General features: G+C 53.9%; 2 protein-coding genes across 11 annotated transcripts, besides 3 other annotated features; one reads left to right on the plus strand and one right to left on the minus strand.

Moving 5' to 3' along the window:
- Positions 118 to 447: a silencer, noted in NCBI's record as "silent region_10572". NCBI's record gives its function as "represses an Ori minimal core promoter by ATAC-STARR-seq in GM12878 lymphoblastoid cells {active_cell/tissue: GM12878}" and the evidence as "EXISTENCE:reporter gene assay evidence [ECO:0000049][PMID:35858748]".
- FAM98C (family with sequence similarity 98 member C) lies at positions 331 to 6,326 on the plus strand. 3 transcript variants are annotated; one of them, NM_174905.4, is made up of 8 exons: positions 331 to 456; positions 576 to 724; positions 798 to 932; positions 2,146 to 2,351; positions 2,582 to 2,659; positions 2,757 to 2,873; positions 4,148 to 4,315; positions 5,989 to 6,322. In NM_174905.4, exons 1-8 carry the CDS (start codon positions 392 to 394, stop codon positions 6,118 to 6,120), a joined length of 1,050 nt encoding a protein of 349 aa, NP_777565.3. In that variant the 5' UTR covers positions 331 to 391; the 3' UTR covers positions 6,121 to 6,322. The 3 variants fall into 3 exon arrangements, with proteins under 3 accessions (NP_777565.3, XP_016881843.1, NP_001338604.1); XM_017026354.2 differs by lacking the exons at positions 4,148 to 4,315; positions 5,989 to 6,322 and having other exon boundaries at positions 2,613 to 2,659; positions 2,757 to 2,849; NM_001351675.1 differs by lacking the exons at positions 2,582 to 2,659; positions 4,148 to 4,315 and having other exon boundaries at positions 373 to 456; positions 5,989 to 6,326.
- Positions 638 to 837: a silencer, noted in NCBI's record as "silent region_10573". NCBI's record gives its function as "represses an Ori minimal core promoter by ATAC-STARR-seq in GM12878 lymphoblastoid cells {active_cell/tissue: GM12878}" and the evidence as "EXISTENCE:reporter gene assay evidence [ECO:0000049][PMID:35858748]".
- On the minus strand, positions 6,296 to 23,457 carry RASGRP4 (RAS guanyl releasing protein 4). Of its 8 annotated transcripts, XR_935732.3 has the most exons (18): positions 23,307 to 23,457; positions 19,207 to 19,391; positions 18,333 to 18,438; positions 18,146 to 18,208; positions 17,369 to 17,500; positions 17,098 to 17,251; positions 15,629 to 15,802; positions 14,290 to 14,406; positions 12,086 to 12,361; positions 10,632 to 10,712; positions 10,431 to 10,535; positions 10,169 to 10,287; positions 9,910 to 10,054; positions 8,583 to 8,619; positions 8,353 to 8,487; positions 8,124 to 8,236; positions 7,193 to 7,334; positions 6,296 to 6,608 (listed from the first exon to the last, which is right to left on the minus strand). XR_935732.3 is itself a non-coding variant. In NM_001146202.2 (17 exons), the coding sequence occupies exons 1-17, from the start codon at positions 23,327 to 23,329 to the stop codon at positions 7,278 to 7,280; spliced, it is 1,980 nt and encodes a 659-aa protein (NP_001139674.1). In that variant the 5' UTR covers positions 23,330 to 23,457; the 3' UTR covers positions 6,296 to 7,277. The 8 variants fall into 8 exon arrangements, 7 of the variants coding, with proteins under 7 accessions (NP_001139674.1, NP_001139677.1, NP_001139676.1 ...); NM_001146202.2 differs by having other exon boundaries at positions 6,296 to 7,334; positions 17,098 to 17,209; NM_001146205.2 differs by having other exon boundaries at positions 6,296 to 7,334; positions 15,629 to 15,700.
- Positions 23,333 to 23,392: a silencer, noted in NCBI's record as "silent region_10574". NCBI's record gives its function as "represses an Ori minimal core promoter by ATAC-STARR-seq in GM12878 lymphoblastoid cells {active_cell/tissue: GM12878}" and the evidence as "EXISTENCE:reporter gene assay evidence [ECO:0000049][PMID:35858748]".

Raw genomic sequence — 23,775 nt, forward strand, 5'->3', positions numbered from 1 at the left:
TAGAGCGAAATCTGCCTCAAAAACAAACCAACAAAACACCAGCAGAAGACAACTGAGGGAGGAAAAGGAAAATGGCACCGAAGTTGTTTTTATGTCGCCGCAACAGTGACACCCGCCGCCAGCTTGTCTTGACAGCGGAGATCCCGAACGCACTGCAATTTACAGCTCCAGGGGGCGTTCCTACAACCCCGACAGGTTAGCCGAGGGGCGGGGCGGGCGGGCCCCGGGGCGGGTTCGGCGTCCTCCTGCGCCAATGGGAGCACCCAAGCCCCTGCGCGGGAAGATGCCGATTGGTCAGTGCCGCCGGACGCTGCGGGGAGCTCGTGCGCGCGGCGCTTTTGGGGCGGAGCCTGCCACCGGCCGCCAGGGGGCGCGCCGAGACCACACTTTCATGGAGGCGGTGAAGGCGGAAGCGTGGGAGGGGGCCGCGGTGGCCCAGGACCTGCTGGCTCTGGGGTAAAAGGGTGTGCGGTGAGGCTGGTGGGTGCAGGAAGGCCAGGTCTGCCCCCTGGACGCGGACGAAAAGGGATTCCCAGTGACATCCCCGCCCCCTCCCGCTGCCTCGGTCCCCACAGGTATGGAGGTGTCCCGGGGGCGGCGTCGCGGGGCGCCTCATGCCCAGACTTCAGGGGGCTGTGCGTGCGGCTGGCGGCGGAGCTGGCGACGCTGGGCGCCCTCGAGCAGCAGCGAGAGGCGGGCGCGGAGGTGCTGAGCGCCGGCGACGGTAAACACGGAGCGGGAGGGTGGCAGGGGGGCCGCCACGGGGCCACCGAGCCCTGACACCCCTGTCCTCGCAGGCCCTGGCGCGGAGGAGGACTTTCTGCGGCAGCTCGGCAGCCTGCTGCGGGAGCTGCACTGCCCGGATCGCGCGCTCTGCGGCGGGGATGGCGCGGCTGCGCTTCGGGAACCCGGTGCCGGACTGCGCCTGCTGCGTGAGTCCCGGGATGCAGAAGTGGCAAGGCCATGGCCTCCGGAGCGGCGGGCTCTGACTTTTTAGGGGAAATCGAGGTTCCCAAGGGGTGTGGTCAGAACTTTGGGGCGGCCCAGAGGGTACGAGGTGGGTGGGGTGAGCATGTTGGGGCAAGCAGAGCGCTCTAAAATGGGCGGGGGTAGAATTTCGTTTTATTTTTTATTTATTTTATTATTATTATTTTTGAGATGGAGTTTCACTCTTGTTACCCAAGCTGGAGTGCAGTGGCGTGATCTCGGCTCACTGCAACCTCCACCTCCCAGGTTCAAGTGATTCTCTTGCCTCAGCCTCCCGAGTAGCTGGGATTACAGGCGCGCGACACCACACTCGGCTATTTTTAGTAGAAACGGGGTTTCACCATGTTAGCCAGGCAGGTCTCGAACTCCTGACCCCAGGTGATCTGTCCACCTCGGCCTCCCAAAGTGTTGGGATTACAGGCGTGAGCCCACCACGCCCGGCCCGGGGTTAGAATTTTAATTGGAGGGCCTAGGAGCTCAAGTGGGTTGGATTAGGAGGAAGGCTTGAGGTTTCAAAGTGGGCAGGAGTGGAATTCGTAGGAGGGGACAGGGTCTCAAGGTGGGGCTTACTCTGGAAGGCTTTAGGTGGGGGGGACTAGAAGGTGGAGGATTTTGTTTTGTTTTGTTTTTAAGTGGAGGTGGGGTCTCCCTATGTTGCCCTGTCTGGTCTTCAACTCCTGGCTTCAAGCGATCCTCCCACCTCAGCCTCCCAAGGTGTTGGGATTACAGGCTACAGGCATGAGCCACTGTGCCTGGGCAAAGGTGGAGGTTTTAAAGCCGGTGGAGCCTCTTTTTTTTTTGAAATGGAGTCTCGCCCTGTTGCCAGGCTGGAGTACAGTGACATGATCTCAGCTCACTGCAACCTCCAACTTCCTGGTTCAAGCGATTTTCCTGCTTCAGCCTCCCGAGTAGCTGGGATTACAAGCACTCACCACTATGTCCTGCTAATTTTTGTATTTTTAGTAGAGACACAGTTTCACCATGTTGGCCAGGCTGGTCTCCATCTCCTGACCTCGTGATCCGCCCGCCTCTGCCTCCCAAAGTGCTGGGATTACAGGTGTGAGCCACCGCACCCGGCCATCAGTGGAGCTTTTTGACCAAGATGGATGAGTGGGTAGCAGCCTCCCTGAGTGCACAGCACCCATTTATTACTTTCAGGCTTTCTCTGCTCAGAGCTCCAAGCCACCCGCCTCCTGTGCCTCCGCTCTCTGCTGGATCCGAGTCCTAGGCCACCCCTTGGTGAAGGGGTAGTGGAGGGAGCCGGCATGGTCCAAGAACTGGACCTTACCCTCCAAGCCCTGGGGCTGCCCAGACCTGCACCAGGGACCCCCGCCAGCCAGCTGCTGCAGGAGTTGCATGCTAAGGTAGAGAGTCAGAGTCCCCTCCCGACCTGGGCTACCCCACTTTCCTTGTGGGGGTGGGGGTCCTCTCTCCACTTCTGGAAGGAGTATTCCAACCACTGGCCTGTTTTTTCTGGAGCTGTGACTGGCATTCTCACATCTGTGGCCTAGGTCCTCAGGGGTGTGGGGAGCTGAGTTTACAGAGGGGCCCATCCTCTCTGCCCCAGTTGGCCTCTGACTTCTTCTCCCATCAGATCTCAGAGCTGCAGCCTTCTCTGCCCCCAGGGTCCCTGCAGCCCCTCCTCAGCTGCTCGCTAGATGCACCCAGATGGGTAAGACTGTGTGCGACTGACTGAATGTGAACTGTGTCCTCATCAGAGGTGGCAGTGAGAGGGACCCCTAGCCTGACCTTGAGACCTTTTCTCCCAGGAAGCGTTGGAGTCTCTGTCCCAAAGCCTCAGAGATCAGTACCGCTGCCGCCGCTGCCTCCTCCTCAAGCGCCTTGACCTCACTACATCTGCTTTCCACTGGAGTGACCGGGCAGAGGTGTGGTGGGCAGGGGACCATGCAGAATTGGAGAGGCCCAGTTGTGGGGGCTGCAGTTGCAGGGAGGAGGAATGAGGGCCAGGAGTATCACCCTCTTGCAGGTTCTCAGGCCATGGACATTTTATAATTTTTTGAGGTTTGGGGCTCCTAGAATCTCAGGGTCCCAGGGTATTGTTGAATTCCCAGCTCTGAGCTGGCAGTATATTCAGAGGCATACCCCATCATTTTTTTTTTTTTTTTGAGACGGGGTCTCACTCTGTTGCCAGGCTGGAGTGTGGTGGTGCGATCTCAGCTCACTGCAACCTCCGACTCCCGGGTTCAAGTGATTCTCCTGCCTCAGCCTCCTGAGTAGCTGGGATTACGGGCACATGCCACCATGCCCAGCTAATTTTTGTATTTTTAGTAGAGACAGGGTTTCACCATGTTGGCTAGGATGGTCTCGATCTCCTGACCTTGTGATCTGCCTGTCTTGGCCTCCCAAAGTGCTAGGATTACAGGCATGAGCCACTGCACCCAGCCTTTTTTTTTTATTTTTTATTTTTTGAGACGGAGTTTTGCTTTTGTTGGCCACGCTGGAGTGCAATGGTGCGATCTTGGCTCACCGCAACCTCCGCCTCCTGGGTTCAAGTGATTTTCTTGCCTCAGCCTCCCGAGTAGCTGGGATTTCAGGCATGCACCACCACGCCGGGCTAATTTTGTATTTTTTAGTACAGACAGGGTTTCTCCATGTTGGTTAGGCTGGTCTCAAACTCCCAACCTCAGGTGATCTGCCTGCCTTGGCCTTCCAAGGTTCTGGGATTGCAGGCATGAGCCACCACGCCTGGCCAAGTGTACCCCATCTTTAAGAGATACGAGCAGAGTCAGGCACAGTGGCTCATGCCTGTTATCCCAGCACTTTGGGAGGCCAAGGCAAGAGGATCACTTGAGCTCAGAAGTTTGAGACCACCTTGGGCAACATAGCAAGACCCCCGTCTCTACTAAAAATTAAAAAAAAAAAAATTAGCTGGGCATGGTGGCGCATGCTTGTCCATCTCAGTTACTCAGGAGGCTAAGGTAGGAGGATCACTTGAGCCCAGGAGATTGAGGCTGCAGTGAGCCACCATCACGCCACCACACTCCAGGCTGGGTGACAGCGAGACCCTGTCTCAAAAAATAAATATTTATTTGAGCTGTGGGCAGTGAGGTCTTGAATGGTAAAGTAATGCTTCCAAGATGACAGGTCCCACGTGGGGAAGGGCTCCAGGGTACCTTCTCTTACCTCCTCCCCACTCCAGGCCCAAGGAGAGGCCATGAGGGCAGTGCTGATCCCAATTCGAGAGGTTCTGACCCCAGAATCGGACATCTCCATTGCACACGTTCTGGCTGCCCGAGCCGACCTGTCTTGTCTCGTCCCAGCCACCAGCGTGGCTGTCCGCAGAGGGACCTGCTGTGCCATCAACAAGGTGGGCATCTGGGGTAGGGAAGGGCCCTGGCATCCTTGGCCTTCAGATTGGCCTTTCAGCCTCTGCTCCAGTCCAAGTTTCAGACTTACCACCTCTAATCCACCCACTAGACATGGCAGCTAGAAGGACCTCGCTCACACAAAAACTGACTGTGGACTCCCCAGCTCAGAATGCTTCCGTGGCTCCCTAATGATCTGAAAACAAAGTCTAGCTATTTACTGAGTCCCTGGCTACTTCTCCAGCTTGGGCTTAAAATCCTTCCCTATCACCAAACACTACCTATTTGTTGTTTTTTAACCTTTTTTTTTTTCAAGACAGAGTCTTGCTCTGTCACCCAGGCTGCAATGCAGTGGCTTGATCTTGGCTCACTGCAACCTCCACCTCCCGGGTTCAAGCGATTCTCCTGCCTCAGCCTACCGAGTAGCTAGGATTACAGGCACCCACCACCATGTCCGGCTAATTTTTGTATCTTTAGTAGTGACGGGGTTTCACCATATTGGTCAGGCTGGTCTTGAACTCCTGACCTTGTGATCTACCCGCCGTGGCCTCCTAAAGTGCTGGGATTACAGGTGTGAGAAACCGCACCCTTTTAACCATTTAAAAAAAAAAAACAAAGACAGAAATAGGCCAGGCACAGTGGCTCACGCCTGTAATCCCAGCACTTTGGGAGGCCGAGGCAGGCGGATCACGAGGTTAGGAGATCGAGACCATCCTGGCTAACACGGTGAAACCCCATCTCTACTAAAAATACAAAAAAAAAATTAGCCGGGCGTGGTGGCAGACACCTGTAGTCCCAGCTACTCAGGAGGCTGAGGCAGGAGAATGGCGTGAACCCAGGAGGCGGAGCTTGCAGTGAGCCAAGATGGCACCACTGCACTCCAGCCTGGGCGACAGAGCAAGACTCTGTCTCAAACAAACAAACAAACAAAAAACAGAAATACCCTCTGTTTTAGTGATTAGGTATCTAGCCGCATGCCTCTGTAAGTAGTCTTATGTAAAATGAGTATTAGGGAATAAAGTCTAACACAGCAACTATTGAGGCAAAATTTAAGTTAAGAAAAAAACTGAGCCCGAGGTGGGTGGATCACTTGAGCCCAGGAGCAGAGGTTGCAGTGAGCCGGGTTCTCGCCACTGAGCTCCAGCCTGGGCGACAGAGCCTAGGCGACTCTGTCTCAAAAAAAAAAAAAGAAAAGAAAAGTAGGCTGGGTGCAGTGGCTCACGCTTGTAATCCCAGCACTTTGGGAGGCCAAGGTGGGCGGATCACAAGGTCAAGAGATCGAGACCATCCTGGCTAACACGGTGAAACCCTGTCTCTACTAAAAATATAAAAAATTAGCCAGGCGTGGTGGCACGCACCTGTAGTCCCAGCTACTTGGGAGGCTGAGGCAGGAGAATCTCTTGAACCCGGTAGGTGGAGGTTGCAGTGAGCTGAGATCACACCACTGCACTCCAGCCTGGGCAACAGAGTGAGACTCCGTCTCAAAAAAAAGAAAAGAAAAAAGAAAGCTCATGCTAGTATCTTCCACCAGTTCAGTCCCCCCTCCCCCAGCCACTGTACTCAAATAGTCAACATCTGCTGTTTCTTCTTCAGCCTCATGCTGTTCCCTTCGCTCTCTGGCCCCCTTGTCCAAGATACTTTTTTTCTCTGCAACTCAAATCTCATAAACTCTCAGGTGCTTATGGGCAACGTTCCAGACCGGGGGGGCCGCCCAAATGAGCTGGAGCCTCCCATGCCCACCTGGAGGAGCCGAAGAGAGGATGGAGGCCCCCAGTGTTGGGGTCGCAAGAAGAAGAAGAAGAAGTAAAGGGGGACTGGTGGTCGGGGGCGGGGGGTCCTCCATGAGATGCTAATGCTATCGGTAATCTCTGGGGAGTCCGTTTAAGGCTTTCCTTGGTATTTGGCACCCAAGCCCCCCATCTCCTATTCCTGAGTCCCCAAATGCCCTGCTCCCATTCACGTCAATACCAAGAACCATGTTCTCCAGAGAATAAATTTAATTTATGACAGCTGTAGGACCTCTCTCTGTGGGGGCCAAGTCAGGGGTGTTGGGGTTTGTGAAGGGGTTGGGGGGGTCTCTGCTCCCTGGGACTGAATGGGCCCCTGCTGCTCGACCCTCAAAGTTCTTTGCCCTATAGCACATCTATCCTGTGCCGTGGGCATGGGTAAGGAGACATTCAGGCATCAGACAAGCATCTGTCAGGCGCCTACCACCTGCCAGCCCTGTTCTAGGCACTGGGGATGCAGCAGTGAATGACATTGATAGAAATCCCTGTTCTCCTGGAGTTGATGCTCCTGTTGAGGAAAGACAGACGTTCAACGAGATAAAGAGGGAAAAAGTATAGGCTGTCAGAGGGAGCACATTCTATGCAGAAAAACAGGAGCTGGGCGTGGTGGCTCACGCCTGTATTCCCAGCACTTTGGGAGGCTGAGGCTGGTGGATCATGAGGTCAGGAGTTTGAGACCATCTTGGCCAACATGGGGAAACCCCGTCTCTACTAAAAATACAAAAATTAGCCGGGCATGGTGGCGCGTGCCTGTAATCCCAGCTACTTGGGAGGCTGAGGCAGAAGAATCACTTGAACCCAGGAGGCGGAAGTTGCAGTGAGCTGAGATTGCATCATTGCACTCCAGCCTGGGTGACAGAGCAAGACTCTGTCTCAAAAAAAAAAAGAAATGGAGATGTAGGGAGTTGGTAGAATGAGGCCTGAGTCTAAATGTATCCAACACACAGCCGCACAGATACTAAGTGCAGGGAAAGGGAGCAGGATTAGCATCCACCAGGATGCAAAAGAGGAAAGTCACTTCCAGGGAAAAAGATGACGGACGTACCACTAAAGGCAGTGTGGATGGGAAGGCGGATGCCTCTGGAGGCCTACCTCTGGGAGCCCTGCCAGAGTCTGACGGCAGGACTCAGGACTGACTGGGGGAAGGGAGTGAGGAAGAGAGGAGACCAAGAGATGTCTAGGAATCCAGCTTGGAGGATGCAGTTGATGGTGGGTCCATCACCGGGCAGGGGACCTGGAAGGAGGAAGGGAGGAAGAAAGATGACAGATGATGTGGGGAGCATATGATGTCTAGGAGACGCTTCACTGCCAGGAACACTTCCCTGCCCAGACTGGTAAGTGGATGAATGAACGTCCCCTGTGGAATCCTTTTTGTAACCCAATCTGAGAGTCTCTGCCCTCAAATAGTGGCGTTTACTCCATTAACCCGTACAGTAGCTCCTGATATATTTGGCCTTATTCTTGCTATCTTATTGGCTAGAATCCTTTTTTCTGTTCTCCTAGTGGTTATTGTCCCCACCCTACCCCCAACATGTTGAAACTTCTATTTTTCTTTTTTTTTTTTTTTTGAGACAGGGTCTTGCTCTGTCACCTAGGCTGGTGTGCAGTGGCACAATCTCAGCTCACTACAGCCTCTGCCTCCCGGGCTCAAGTGATTCTCCTGCCTCAGCCTCCCGTGTAGCTGGGACTACAGGCACCCGCCATCACACTTGGCTAATTTTTGTATTTTTAGTAGAGATAGGGTTTTATCACGTTGGCCAGGCTGATCTCGAACTTCTGACCTCAAGTGATCCTCCCACCTCAGCCTCCCCGAAGTCCTGGGATTACAAGCATGAGCCACCACACCCAGCCTATTTTTCTATCAATATTAAAAAGTAACCAGTATCCATACCCTCCTACCCCAGCAGTCAAGGACTTCTGCATATTTGTACTTTCTATGGGTCTCCAAATCTGTCCAGTCTTCCCCACGCCAATGGCCTGTGTCCCCTGTATCCACTTGGGGGTAGGGGCGGTTTCTCCTCACCGTATCTGTTTCCCAGGAAGGGTGTGGGGATTCAGTCTGGGTCCAGGCATGGCGAAGCTGGCACCCAGTCTCAGGCTCCAGGGATAGCGTGTAGGAGTGATTTTCCTCGGAGCCTGTTTGTGGGTGGATGGAAGGGATGTGGGTCTGATGGGAAGGACCTCTTCTTGACCTTGGACTCAACCCCTTTCCCCCAGGCCCCTTCCCAGCACCGGTGTGCTCTAGGTCTTACCACAGCTGGCATGGGGAGCTGGTGTGGATGGGACAGGAGCTCCGGGGGGTCCTGCATCGCCCTTGGCCCCTGGCCTCTTCTTACATTCTACCTTCACCTGGTCTCTGCAGTGTTTGTGGCAACACAGCCCGCACTCTGGGGGAAGGCAGCGGCAGGGGTCCGATCTGTGTCATCCATTCTTCCAGCCTGCGGGCCAAGGCTTCCCTCCCACTCACTGACACCCCACTCACCCCGACAGCGGTAGCCTTGCTTGGTGACACCCCAGAGCTGGGAAGAGAAAGGAGAAAAGGTTACCCATCCTAGGAGAGGGAGGGCTGTGGATTGGCAGGGCAGCTGGGGAGTGGAAGTGTGGAAGCTACCCAGGTTTTGAAATTCTCAAGGCTAGAGATTTAACTGGAATTAAAGGAATGTGGGTGGGGTACAGTGGCTCATGCCAGTAATCCCAGCACTTTGAGACGCCAAGGTGGGAGGTTGGGAGGCCAAGGTGGGAGGATCGCTTGAGCTCAGGATTGGAGGCTGCAATGAACCATGATCGTACCACGGCACTCCAGCCTGGGTAATAGAGCAAGACCCATCTCTTAACAAAATAAATAAAGGAAACTTGGAGATTATCTCAAGTTTAGATAATCACCTCAGATATTAGATTTAGGTAAAATTTAGAGTTACTAAAATGCAAATTCTATGGGCAAGAGTTGTCTGCTGTATTCCTGCTGTAACCCCAGGGCCTAGGATTACCTGGCACACAGGAGGTGCTCAGTAAATATTTCATGAATGAATAAATGAATGTGGGAAGTAATCCAAGGTTTGTGAATTAGTCTCGGGTTATAGGTTGAGAGATTGATCCACTAGCCAGAGTTTGAGGATCTCTTGAATTTGGAAGTTATTCAGAGTTTGAATGATCTGGAGTCTAGAGATTTGGAGGATGATTCTGTTTGAACATAATCTACCCGGTTTGGAGATTATCCAGGTTTGTTGTTGTTGTTGTTGTTGTTGTTGTTGTTGTTGTTGTTGTTGTTGTTTTTGAGACAGAATCTCGCTCTGTCACCCAAGCTGGAGTGCAGTGCTGCGATCTTGGCTCATGCAACCTCCACCTCCTGGGTTCAAGCAATTCTCGTGCCTCAGCCTCCTGAGTAGCTGGGATCACAGGTATGCACCACCACATGCAGCTAATTTTTGTATTTTTAGTAGAGACGGGGTCTCTCTTGCTATGTTCCCTAGGCTGGTCTTGAACTCTTGAGCTCAAGCAATCCGCCCACCTCAGCCTCCCCAAGTGCTGGGATTACAGGCGTGAGCCACCACTCCTGGCCTCCTATCTAGAGTTTTAGGTATTATCCATGGTTCAGCAATTGTCTGGGGTGGACATTATCTGGGATTTTGGGATTATCTGGCATTTGGAGATTATCCAGGATATAGGGAATGTCTGGTGTTTAGGGTTTATATGAAACAGGATGATTTGAAGCTGGAGGATTTCTGGAATTTGGGGGTTATCTGGGGTTTGCGGACTGCCGGCTTCAGGACAGATGGAACCTAAGGGTGGTGATGGGGTGGGGTGCTCACGAAGCCACTGCAGCTGTCGCAGAAGGTAGGCTTTCGGAAGGTGACCTCATGGAAGGTGTGCAGGAAGGCCAGGCCCAACTTGGAGCAGATGGCGCTGGCCCGGAGCAGGTACCCTGTCAGCTCCTCTCTGCTGAAGGATCCTCTCCTGGGGGCAGAAACTGAGCCTCAGCATGACCTGCCCCAACGTCCTCCAGACCCAGGAGTCCAGGCAACCCCAGTGTCCTCATCTTCGGAGGATCCAGGAGTCACAACCACTTACCCCTGGCGTGGGGGTGGGTGAAGCCCATGGCAGGCGAAGGGAAAATTGCCCGAGAGTCGCTCAAAGTCCTCCTGAGAGATTGTTCCTCGGCCTTCAGGGTCATAATTCTTGAACACAGACTTCAGAGGAGTGTGGGGAAGCAGATAAGGCCCAGTTGTCGAAATATGATCCCCATGGCCATAAGTCCCCACCTCCAGGCTCAGGGTTCTACAGATGTCTTCCCTCCTGGCTGCTGGCGGCCGGGCCACCCTCCCCTCCTTACCTCCACCAGCTGCTCCACATGCCGACCCAGTGTGACCCTGTCCGGCTTGGGTGTCACACCAGGGGCCCACTCCACCACCAGAGGTGCATTGAAGGGGGAGGGTGGCTGGGGCGGGGACAGAGGAGCACAGTTAGTCACTGCATAGGCTTAGGGGGGGTTCGAGGTAATTGGGGGAGTCCGAGGCCAGGGGTTGGGTCTCACCAGGCTCTTGGGACAACGCGGCTCCCGGGCATAAGAAAGCTCATAGATCTCGTCTTCCGTGTAGAAGAGGTCCAGGGAGAGCTGGAGCAGACAGGGGTGTTACGGATCCTCCCATCTATAGCCCTGCCCCAGACCCCCACACCCACTCGCAGGCTCTTCCCAAAGCCCCTCCTGGGTTCAAATCCTGGCATTACTGCTGTGGGACAGTGGGCAAGGGACCTCACCTCTCTGGGCCTCAGTTTCCCAATCTACAGAATGGGCACAGTAAGGGTCCCGACCTCATAGGGTTGTAAGGTGGAATGAGGTACCTGGCACACAGTCAATGATCAATAACTGTTAGTAGCCTTTTGCTTAGATTCTTGGATATGTCAAAGCTTGAGATTTTGGGCTATCAGCATGAGAAGCTCAGAACCTTGGAGTTTAAGAATGTGAACCCCAAAGCAATTCCAGAGCTCAGATCAATGGATACTTGAGTCATTGGAGGAAGTGGGGAAAAAACATGTTACTTAAATAGAATACAGAGCTCACTCTGCTCCATATACTGTCGTTTTTTGAGACAGAGTCTTGCTCTGTCACCCAGGCTGGAGTGTAGTGGTACGATCTTGGCTCACTGCAACCTCCGCCTCCCAGGTTCAAGCGATTCTCATGCCTCAGCCTCCCAAGTAGCTGGGATTACAGGCGTGTGCCACTATGCCAGGCTAATTTTTTGTATTTTTAGTAGAGATGGGGTTTCACCATGTTGCCTAGGCTGGTCTCAAACTCCTCAGGCAATCCGCCTACCTCAGCCTCCCAAAGTGCTAGGATTAGAGGCATGAGCCACTGCGCCCGGCTAGACACTGTCTTAAAGACATTCTTTGAACGATGTCATTGGCTGTCTCTCCTCAACCACCCTCTGAAGTGGGTCCTTTTATTTTATTTTATTTTTATTTATTTATTTATTTTGAGAAGGAGTTTCGCTCTTCTTGCCCAGGCTGGGGTGCAATGGCGCAATGGCGCAATCTCAGCTCACTGCAACCTCCACCTCCCGGGTTCAAGCAATTCTCCTGCCTCAGCCTCCCAAGTAGCTGGGATTACAGGCACGCACCACCACTCCTGGCTAATTTTGTATTTTTAGTAGAGACGGGGTTTCTCCATGTTGGTCAGGCTGGTCTCGAACTCCTGACCTCAGGTGATCTGCCCACCTCAGCGTCCCAAAGTGTTGGGATCACAGGCGTGAGCCACTGCGCCCGGCTGGGTCCTTTTATTATTCCCATTTTGTGGATAAGGAAACTGAGGCTTAAGGGTTCAGTGACTTGCCCAAGATCACGCAGCTAGAAAAAAACCTAGAAGTTCTGGCTTCAAAACCCATGCACTCCAGCACTTTTCTATCCTGGTCCTGGAGACACTCACACACCCAGGACCCTATATCTCAGTACCCTTGGAAGCCCAGCCTGGGCGGGGCCAGGGGGGCTCACCGTGAGCAGGTGCAGCAGATCCTCATTGGCGCTGCAGGGTGGATGCTGCCCTTGGAGGGCCACCAGCTCCTGCAGCCGCAGGTAGAGGTTGTTCAGCTTGGGTAGGTGCAGGCGGCCGTCAGGCAACCTGTCGGGCTGTGCCTCATGCAGGGACACCAGGTCCTTGAGGTGCACGCCCAGTACAGGCAGCCGGAAACCCGCGCAGCCAGCCCAGGTGCGGCGGTAGCGGGCGTAGTTGTTGTGGGAGGCAAGGAGCTCAGTGAGCTCCAGGAGGGCCTGGGGAGGAGGGACATGGGATTGGGGCGTTATCAGGACAGTCCCATCCCCTGAGCAGCCTCCTGTGTGGGCTCTAGGCCTTCAGGGACCCAGTGGCATTGTGGAAACCTCTGGAGCCCTTCCATATCCCATGCCGGTCTCAGCATCTCCCCCAAACTGCTCTTCCTCTTGGGTCCCCATCTCAGAGAAGTTCCACAATCCCCCATTCTTTGGCTAAAATGATTTCTTTTATCTTTCTTTCTTTTTGATTTTTTTTTTTTTTTTTTTGAGATGGAGTTTTGCTGTCTTGCCCAGGCTAGAGTGCAGTGGCGTGATCTCGGCTTACTGCCACCTCCACCTCCTGGGTTCAAGCGATTCTCCTGCCTCAGCCTCCCAAGAAGCTGGGATTACAGGCATTGAGCCACCACGCCAGGCTAATTTTGTATTTTTAGTAGAGACAGGGTTTTACCATGTTGGCCAGGCTGGTCTCAAACTCCTCACCTCAGGTGATCTGCCTGCCTCGGCCTCCCAAAGTGTTGGGATTACAGGCGTTAGCCATCAAGACCGGCCTTTTTATTTATTTATTTTTTAGGCTAGGGTCTCACTCTGTCACCCAGGCTGGAGTACAGTGTCATGATCACAGCTCATTGCAGCCTTAAACTCCTGAGCTTGATGGCTGGGCACGGTGGCTCACACCTGTAATCCCAGCATTTTGAGAGGCCGAGGCAGGCGGATCATCTGAGGTCAGGAGTTCGAGAACAGCCTGGGCAACATGGTAAAAACCTGTCTCTACTAAAAATACAAAAATTAACTGGGTCTGGTGGTGCAGGCCTGTAATCCCAGCTACTCGGGAGTCTGAGGCAGGCGAATCGCTTGAACCTGGGAGGTGGAGGCTTCAGTGAGCCAAGATTTCGACACTGTACTCCAGCCTGGGAGATAGAGTGAGACTCTGTCTCAAAAAACAACAATGAAAAGGCTGAGGGGGAGGCTCCAGCAGTCCTCCCCCTCAGCCTCCCAAGTAGCTGGGACTACAGGCATGGGCCACCATCCCTGGCTAATTTATTTTTAAATTTTTTTTCAGCCAGGCGCGGAGGCTCACACCTGTAATCCCAGCACTTTTGGAGGCCAAGGTGGGTGGATCGCCTTAGGTCAGGAGTTTGAGACCAGCCTGGCCAACATGGTAAAACCCTGTCTCTACTAAAAATACAAAATTAGCAGGGCATGGTGGTGCACCCCTGTAATCCCAGCTATTCGGGAGGCTGGGGCAGGAGAATTACCTGAATCCGGGAGGCAGAGGTTGCAGTGAGCCGAGATTGCACCACTGCACTCCAGCCTGGGCGACAAGAGCGAGACTCTGTCTCAAAAAAAAAAAAAAAAAAAAAAAAAAATTTCTGGAGATGGGGTCTCGCTATGTTGCCCAGGCTGGTCTGAAACACCTGGGCTAAAGTGATCCTCCAATCTTGGCCTCCCAAAACGCTGGGATTACAAGTGTGAGCCACACTGTACCCAGCCTATAATTATTTCTTAAAAACCCAGATTTTATCAAGGGTGTGTCATCACTCTCAAAACTTCCCTAGCTTAGCCCATCTTACAAGGCGCTATAGGATCTTCCCAGGGCATCTTCGGCTTAATTTCCTGCCACTTTCTGACCTCAGCCAGTCCTCCCCATGGGGACTGCAAAGTTCTCTGCTAGCCTGTCTCCCATCTGTCTCCCTCACAGTCCAGCTCCGGACCAGACACACTGAAAGCAGAGAGGGATCAGCACCATGAGTGGATGGATGACAGGGAGGAGGAATGCTGGCAGAGCCTGGGGGTCTGGGATTTGGAGGAGCAAGGACTTCATGTGGTACCAGGACCCCTGGGCAGGAATGGACAGGGCTTGGGGAATTAGGTGTGGGGGCTCAAGACAGCTGACCACTTGGAGCTTTGGGGAGGGTAGTGGGATTCACCTTGGTGCTGTCAGGGCTCAGGTGGGCATGGGAGTCCTTGAGTCTGGAGATGGCACTGTGACACAGGCCCCCTGTGACTGCCATCAGCGTGTTGAAATTCTGCAGCTGGTGGAGCCTCTAGGAAGAGAAGCATGCACACAGGGCCGTCACGGGAGGGAGGGCAAGTCAGGAGTTCAGATGACAGCATCCCAGTTGAGGTGGGGTCCCAGGCATGTGTGGACCAATGTGGGGATCAGACAGGTGAGAGAAGGCGGGTGTGTGCGGCAAGAGTGGGACATGCCATGTGTGGGCCTCACAGGGGTGTCAGATGGCTATCTGAGCCGGGAGGGTCAAGCAAGTGATTGACTGATACGAGGTTAGAAAATCTGGGGAGACAGGAAGTACGAGAAGTTGGGCGGATTTGGGGAATAGACAGGTGTGTGTCAGGTGGAGGAGGCTTCAGACATGTCAGGGTGTCAGCCATCTGGGGGTCTGACTGCTCTGAGAGTCACACAGGTGCGGGGAGGCAAGAAGGTGCAGGCTCTGGGCAGGAGCTGGGAGCCAGGCAGAGGTGAATAGGGCCAGAGAGATATGGAGGAGTCAGACAGATGCTAGACAGGTGTGGGGCCACCAGGGCAGCTGGGGAATTCCCTTGCCCTCCTTTTGACAAATTTCGGCAGAGGTTGCTGTGGAGAGAGTGGGGCCAGGGAGGAATGGAAAATGCTCAGACTAAGGACACCCCAGGCGGACGTCGAGACCCCCAGGTCTCAGGGGCCCTGCAGGAGTAAGCAAGCCAGGGAAGACACCAGAGGAAGGGCGTGGTCTGCGTGGAAATACGCAAGGGGGCGCGGCCACAGCGGGGCCGTAGGGCTTCCCTTTTCCCCAGAAGGGCGAGAAGGTGTCCGGAAAGGAGGGGGAAGGGAGGGGAAGAGAAGGGCGTAACACAATGGGGCGGGGCGGGGAGAGCCCGGACGCAATGGGGAGCGATGCACAATCCCGAAGCGACCGCTGGGGCCTGGGGACTGGGGATTGAAGCCTCGGGCTTCCATGCCCCACAAAGGTGGGGGCATGGAAGAGACACTCTCATTGACCTGGGGATAGAATATTCGGGCATAGGGCTTGGGAGCCTGTCACGTCTAGGGCCAAGGGGTGGGGCCACGGTGGGTGCGACGCGGTGACATCAAGGCCAAAGAAGAAGTTACGGTCCTTGGTTGGAATGCCCAGGCTGTGGCCTCGGGGGCGGGGCCGGGAGATGCGTGACGTCACCGCCGGGATGACCCTGTGGGGTCGAGGGTCTGGAAGGGGAAGGACCAGGTGGCTGCGTGCAGTGGAGTTCGCAGCCCCAAGGGGCGGGCCTCACCTGTGCCACGTGAATGAACTTGTCCAGCACCTGTGCACGCTGTAGGGGCCCGGGACGGCTCAGCACCATCACCTGCACCCAGCGGGACACGCTGTTGCTGAGACCTACGGAGCCCTCCAGGGCCGGGCAGCCTCGTACTGAGCCCTGCAAAACGTAGCTCCGCAGGTCCTGGGGCTGGGAGCGAGGTGGGTGTCAAGGTGGGCCGTGGCGCTCAGGCCCTGCCCTTCCATGGCATCCAACTAGCAGTCACGATCTCTGATGTCCTAGCCTGGTCTAGCCGGAGTGACCTTTGTCATCTGTCCCCCAACCCTCAGGCTGCTACATGTCCTTAACGTCACCATGCTCCTCTCCCATCTGAGGAGGCATGTTTCAATATAGCCAGGCACTATATTTGACAAGTAATCATATTAAATAATTTAATCCTCATAACTCTATGAGGTGAGTATCATTCCATTTTAGAGGTGAGACAGTTGAGGCACATAGAGGATAGGTAATTTGCCCAGGGTCACACAGGTGTGAGTCAGGGTGGGCGTCTATATGCTCTTAACTGTACACCTGACTGGTATACAGTAAGCAAAGGGAAGGCTGGGGAAGATGAATTGAAATCAACCTCTATCTGTTCTGCCCAAGGAGTGTTCATTTCATACCCACATCCACTACACTGAGTATATTTGCATACACACTCACACACACAACACACACATACAATCGGGACAGTTTCACATGAAGGAAACAGATCCCCACCTTCCCTTGAAATGATGATGTCCAGATGGCAAAAGCTAATGCATATATATGTTGAAGCACATGAAACTGATCCTTGGGTAGGTAATATATGACAATTTCAAATGGTTCAAGCAGATAGCATTTACCCTGGACCAGGCACTGTTCCTGCAAGGCAGGAACTGTGCATATCCCCTTTTTACAGATGAGGAAACTGAGGCACCATGAATTTAAATGCTTGTTGAATAAATGATAAAATATTTTGAGCACTTACTAAGTGCCAGTCGCTGCAATAAGCCTTTTATTTATTTATTTTACTTTTTTGTTGTTGTTGTTTTTCGAGACAGAATCTCGCTCTGTCGCCCAGGCTGGAGTGCAGTGGTGTGATCTCAGCTCACTGTAATCTCCGCCTCCTGAGGTTCAAGTGATTCTCCTGCCTCACCCTCCCAAGTAGCTGGGATTACAGGCATGCACCACCACACCTGGATAATTTTTGTATTTTTAGTAGAGATGGGGTTTCACCATGTTGGCCAGGCTGGTCTCAAACTCCTGACCTCAGGCGATCTGCCTGCCTTGGCCTCTTTAACTCATTTTCCTGGACCTTCTAGCATACAGGTTTGAGTTTAAGACTTTGAGATCTCTGCCGAATGACCATGCAGGTGTCCTCTCAGTCCTACCTTCCCCCAGCCAATCCCTCCCCTACCCCAGTGTCTCCCCTGCTTGGGACGGGGATGGGAGGGGGTCCTCACCGTGATAGCCTGGAAGGACCGGAACTCCAGGTAGGTGAGGTGCTGAGCCAGCTCCCCCGTCTCCAAGTGGTCGAAAAGCAAGGACACTTTGCGCTTTTTGCCCAGGCCTGGGCTGCTCATTGGGAGTGGGGGGCCAGGGCCACCAGGGCTCAGGCTGGGGGCCAAGAGGGGCAGGGTATTGGAGTGGCTCACAGTTGAGGGCTTGGGGATATAGAGGGAGATGGCAGAATGGCGATGGGGCAGGGAAGAGGGGAGCACAGGGCTGACTCACAGGTCAGAAGAGTCTCCCAGTCTTCTCTGGGCTGAGTTGCCCTCCCGGGCCACGGTGGCCCAGAAACGACCTATGACTTCTTCTAGCTGGGGATCCTGGTGCATCACCTCAGGGTGTCGCATCAGCCAGTACCTGAGAGTGGTTTGGAGATGGTGAGATGAGGCCGGGGGTGGCGAAGGTCTCTACAAGGGGTATTTTGGGCTGAGGAATTTCTAGGTGCTGAGCTAGGGGGTCTCTAAATGTGTGTGGGGGTCCCTGGAGGGTTGGGGTTTGGAGGGGCACCAGGCTTGGAGAATCTCTGGAGTAGGATGGGGGTCTCTTAACAGAGACTGGGGGGATCTGTGGGAAACAGACCGGGGAGTCACTTGGAAGTGGGATTATTGGGAAGCAAGATCGTGGAGCGTCCTAGGAACTAGACTGGGGGCTTCCGGGGGTGAAATTTTTGGAGGGACAGAATGAGGGGGTCTTATGGGCTAGGCTGGGGTCTGTGGGAGGTAGAGATTTTGGGGATCAGAGTTGGAGGTCTCTGGGCACCAGCTAGGAGGGTCTATGGGATCTGGTTGGTGAGGGGGGTCTCTAGGAAGTGGGGGTTCTAAGGAACGGAACTAAGAGGGTCTTAGGAACCAAGCTACAGGTGTCTCAGAAGTGGGATTTTGGCCTGTGGGGCTGGTTGGGTCTGTGGGAACTGGCCTGGGGATTCTCTGAGGAATGTTTTTTGAGGGGGAAGCAGGATGGAAGTCGTGGGTCCTGAGAGTGGGGATCTCGGCCCAGCCCTACCTGACCAGGTGACAGATCTGCAGCCGTCTCAGCTCCTGGGTGTCCCCTGTGGCCTTCTGGTATTTGAGTTCTGGTCAAGGCTCTGTTTTCCAGGATCCATGACCTGCCTGCTCCCCATTCCCATTGCCCAGGTTCTCACGACTCTGCCCTCTGCCCTCCACCCATAGCTCACAGTCCTGGAGGATATGAGGTCAGCAGGCGGGCAGCCAGGTCGGCGGACGGCAGCACCCAGCTGTGCATGGCCAGCACCATGTTGAGCATGTGGTCCTCGTGGCACAGGCTGCCAGCTGAATCTGGGGTGGAAGGAGGGGTACTCTGTGACAGAATGGCCCTCAAGCAATGCAGAGCGTAGCTCCAGATCCTGCCGGACCACCTGGTTCAAAGACCAGCTCTAACGGTGATCCCCAGCATGACCTTGGACAGGCAACCTAACCTCCTGTGCCTCAGTTTCCTTATCTGTATTGTGCATGGGGCAGCATCACCCCTGGCAAGTCTTGCTGAAGATTGAAATAGCACCAGACTGGCCGGGCACAGTGGCTCACACCTGTAATCCCAGCACTTTGGGAGGCTGAATCGGGCGGATCATATGAGGCCAGGAGTTCGGGACAAGTCTGGCCAACATGGTGAAACACCGTTTCTACTAAAAACACAAAAATTAGCTGGGCCTGGTGGCATGTGCCTGTAATCCTAGCTACTCGGGAAGCTGAGGCAGGAGAATCTCTTGAACCCAGGAGGTGGGGGTTGCAGTGAGCTGAGATCAGGCCACTGCACTCCAGCCTGGGTAACAGAGCGAGACTCTGTCTCAAAAGAAAAAGAAAAGAAAAGAAAAAAGATTTATATAAATATATATAATATACACATATATTATATATATATATAAATGTATATATTTCCATTTCAGGAAAGAAGAAATGCAGGTGTTTCTGTTATCTCTAATGTAGTGATTGAGTTTCATTCCACCCAGCCCTGTTCTCATTTTACCTCCAAAAACTGAGGTGGAGAGAAGCGAGTGCTGAGCCCGAGGTTAGGGCCAGGGAGGCTGCTGGGGAGAGGACACTTACCGAAGGACTGGATGCATTTCTCCAGCAGCTCATCTTCGCTGCAGCCGCCCTCACTCAGCAGGCCCAGGTTCATGGAAGCCATGACCTTGCTGATTTCCCGAGGGCTGGGGCATGTCTTGTGGCGGCGCACTTGGCGGGGCCGGCCTCGCCCTCCTATTTTTCCGGTGCATTCCTGGTGGGACTTCCTGTGGGCACAGCCCCCAAGGAGTCATGGGAGCACCTTCTTTCGGACAGACCCTAGAATTCCTTTTGACTCTAATGCCCCAAGGCACCACGGGAGAGGCTTCCTAAAGGCAAAGCCCCAGGGTTACCCCTGACCTACCAGGGACTCTAGAGAGAATCCCCAGGAATATTCCAGATCCCTGGGGGAATCATGGGAGCCCTCTCCCACAAGCAAACTCCCAGGGATATTCCTGCTCCCTTCAGGGAATCAGAGAGGAAGATCCTCAAGACCAGGGGTCCCCAGCCCCTGGGACACAGACAGGTACCAGTCCGTGGCCTGTTAGGAACCAGCGGGCAAGCAAGCACCCCCGCCTGAGCTCCACCTCCTGTCAGATCAGCTGGGGCATTAGACTCTCTTAGGAGCATGAACCCTATTGTGAACTTCACATGCGAGGGATCTAGGCTGCGTGCTGTTTATGATGCCTGATGATCTAGGCTGCGTGCTGTTTATGATGCCTGATGCCTAATGCCTGATGATCTGTCACTGTCTCTCATCACCCCCAGATGGGAGCATCCAGTTGCAGGAAAACAAGCTCAGGGCTCCCACTGATTCTCCATTATGGTGAGCTGCGTAACTATTTCATTATATATTACAATGTAATAATAATAAAAATAAAGCACAGGATACATGTAATTAACTTGAATCATCCCCACACCATCCCCACCCCCTTCCACAAAACTGGTCCCTGATGCCAAAAAGCCTGGGGACCGCCGCTCAGGACTGCTCTGAATCTCCCAGGGAATCACAGTAGAAGACCCCTGGGACCACTCAAGACCCCTCAGGGAATCATAAGAACTCCTTCCCCAGGCATTGCCCCCAACTTCCTCTTGACTGCTTCCAGGGCATCCTGGAAGAGACTTCCTTTTGGCAGATCCCAGGATTACTCCTGGCCTACCAGGGACTCGGGAGAAGACCCCTGGAATCTCTTCTGTCCTCCCCAGGCAGAGGCATGGGAGGACCTGCCTTCAGGAATTGCCTCCTCAGGGCTCCCGTTTGGTCTCTAACACCCTCCCCTCCTTCCTCCCACAGCCCTCAAGAGAGCAAGGCTCTTGGACCAGTGTGATGGCTCACGCCTGTAATCCCAAAGCTTTGGGAGGCCAAGGTGGGTGGATCACTTGAGGCCAGGAGTTCGAGACCACCCCGGCCAACATGGTGAAACCCCCATCGCTACTAAAAATGCAAAAATTGGTCAGGCGTGATGGCGGGCGCCTGTAATCCCAGCTACTCAGGAGGCTGAGGCAGGAGGGTCGCTTGAACCCAGGAGGTGGAGGCTGCAGTGAGCCGGAACTGCATCACTGTGCTCCAACCTGGGTGACAGAGTGATTTCTGTTTCAAAAATAATAATAAAAAAATTAAAAAGAGAGGCCAGTCACAGTGGCTCACGCCTGTAGTCCCAGCACTTTGGGAGGCTGAGGTGGGTGGATCACTTGAGGTCAGGAGTTCGAGACCAGCCTGGCCAACATGGTGAAACCCCATCTCTATTAAAAATACAAAAATTAGCCAGGCGTGGTGGTGGGCTCCTGTAATCCCAGCTACTCAGGAGGCTGAGGCAGAAGACTTGCTTGAACCCAGGAGGCGGAGGTTGCAGTGAGCCGAGATCGTGCCACTGCACTCCAGCCTGGGCAACAGAGCGAGTCTTAGTCTCAAAATAATAATAATAATAATAGTAATAATAGTAATAATAATTCTCCCTCTGCCTGGTGCCTCCCAGAGGCTGCTGTTCCTGATAGGGGAAGAGGGTAATGGAGAGACAAGGATGGTGGGAGCAGGGAGGCTGCTGAATCCAAGCTTCAGACGAAAGTAGAATCCAGAAATTTTTGCCAGCTGTTGTGACTTCGTGTTAGTCACTTAATTTCTCTGGGGCTCAATTTCCTCGAAGGAAAAATGAGGATAGTCCTTGGACCTTCTCCAGGGATTTCTTTTTTCTTTCTTTCTTTCTTTTTTTGGAGACAGGGTCTCACTCTGTCACCCAGGCTGGAGTGCAGTGGTGCGATCTCAGCTCACTGCAACCTCCACCTCCCGGGTTCAAGCAATTCTCCTGCCTCAGCCTCCCAAGTAGTTGGGACTACAGGCACGTGCCACCACGCCGAGCTAATTTTTGTATTTTTAGTAGAAATGGGGTTTCACCATGTTGGCCAGGCTGGTTTCAAACTCCTGGGCCCAACTGATCCTCCCACCTTTGCCTCTGAAAGTGCTGGGATTACAGGTGTGAGCCATCACGCCAGGCTCCCACCTCTACCCTTTTTCAGACAGGGTCTTGCTCTGTCTCCCAGGCTGGAGCACAGTTGTGCAATCAAAGCTCATTGTAACCTTGAACTCCTGGACTCGAGTGATCCTCCTGCCTTAGTCTCCCAGGTAGCTGGGACTACAGGTGTGCACGACCATACCCAGCTAATTTTGTGTGTGTGTTTGGGTGTGTGTCAATGGGGGGGGGGGTCTCACTATATTTCTCAGGCTGGTCTAGAACTCCTGGCTTCAAGTTCTCCTTGTCTTATCCTCCCAAAGTGCTGGGATTAGAGGCATGAGCCATCGTTACTAGAAGGGACATTTTAAAGTATTATATATGTCCTAGGCTAAGGAAGGAGCATTCTAACTAAGTCAGCATTTCCCTAAGTGTGGGCACCCAGCTAGTACCAAAAGCATCACCTGGGAACTGGATATCAATACAGATTCTCAGGTCCCAACCCAGACCTACAAAATCAAACACTTTAAGGCTAAGGGTGGTGGCTCATGCCTCTAATCCCAGCACTTTGGGAGGCCGAGGTGGGTGGATCACGAGGTCAAGAGATCGAGACCATCCTGCCCAACATGGTGAAACCCCATCTCTACTAAAAATACAAAAAAGTAGCTGGGTGTGGTGGTGCACACCTGTAGTCCCAGCTACTTGGGAGGCTGAGGCAGGATGATCGCTTGAACCCGGGAGGCAGAGGTTGCAGTGAGCCAAGATTGTGCCACTGCACTCCAGCCTGGCGGCAGAGCGAGACTCCGTCTCAAAAAAAAAAAACAAAAAAAAAAAAACCAAACACTTTAAAGGTAAGCCCAGCAACCTGTATTTTACAAGCCCTCCAGACAGTTCTGAGGCTCGCTCCAGTTTGAGAACCACTGGTCTAGAGTGTCTCATTGAGTACTTACAGGCCTCTCCGAGGTAGAGGATATGATTGTTCTACTGACAGAAGAAAAACCCGAGACACAGAGCAGTTAAGTGACTTACCTAAGGTCACACAGCTAGGAAATTAGGCAGCCAGGAGTCTACCACTAAACTGCTGGGTGGGGAGGAAAGCCCTTTGCCCATCAGAGTGGTGCTGGGGGTGGCAGGAGGAGTTACCCAGGCTAGGGAGCCACCCACCATCTGCCTCTGTGGGGACAGAAGGGCCAGCTTGCCCAGGAGATGAAGCCCATTCCAGAACCGGCCGCACAGCCAGCCACTAGGCCCTGTCCTGCAGCCCCCTGTAGGGGTCTGGAACAGCCAGGAGTGGTTTAAGAGGCAGGGGAGTCGCCTTGCCCTGTGCCACACTCCCCTCTCCTGGGCCAGGCCCTGCAGGAGCCTGGAGTTTCCAGTCCACGGGGATGGGGAACCAGGAAGCCCCCAGGGAGGGCAGAGACACTCAGCCCAGGCCAGGGATGGAGGTGGGGTGATGAGGAGTGGAAAAGGGGCACGGAGCAGCTCAAACTCCAGGGACAACACGGTACAGATGCCACATACAAGCGACTGCAGCCGTAGCTGGCTCCAGACTCCCTGAAGCATCCACCTGGCCCCCCTGCGCCTGATCCCAAAGAAGTCAGGAATCCTGCCACCCTGGCGAGTGATCTCCCCAGCCCTCCCATGCAGAGGGAGGCCTCAGGGTGCTGCCGGGCTCCCTGGGGAGGGTCCTCTCACCTCTTACTGTCTTTTCTGTTCATGCTTCCCGCGTGGGGTGAGGAGGCCGGGGGTCTTGCAAGAGTAGGGCTCAGCTCCTCCCCTTGCCCAGGACTCCAGCTTCTCAGCCCCTAGGGAGCTGGGGCCTCCTCGGTGCTTGGGAAGGAAAGAGGAACTGCCCCTCCCCACCCACCCTCAGGCCAGGGGGAAGGAAGAGGCTGGGGAGAGACCGAAGGCCCCCCTCCCCCACACGGGGATCCCTTCTGCTGAGGTTTCCGGCATCGCTGGCTCTCCCACCCTCAAGCTCCCCGGCGGGCTCTCTATCTCCCCCATCTTTCGGTGTCGAGACCCGTCACTGTCATACTTCAATAAAAGAAGGGGCTTTTCTTTTTAAAGCATGACTGATATTTATGTAAAAACACACACACTCACTCAAAAAGATAAGTCTGTCTGTCTAGAAGGACATATTCATATATATAATTCATGAAGG

The sequence above is a fragment of the Homo sapiens genome, chromosome 19 (genome assembly GCF_000001405.40).
Source record: "Homo sapiens chromosome 19, GRCh38.p14 Primary Assembly".
NCBI lineage: Eukaryota > Metazoa > Chordata > Mammalia > Primates > Hominidae > Homo > Homo sapiens.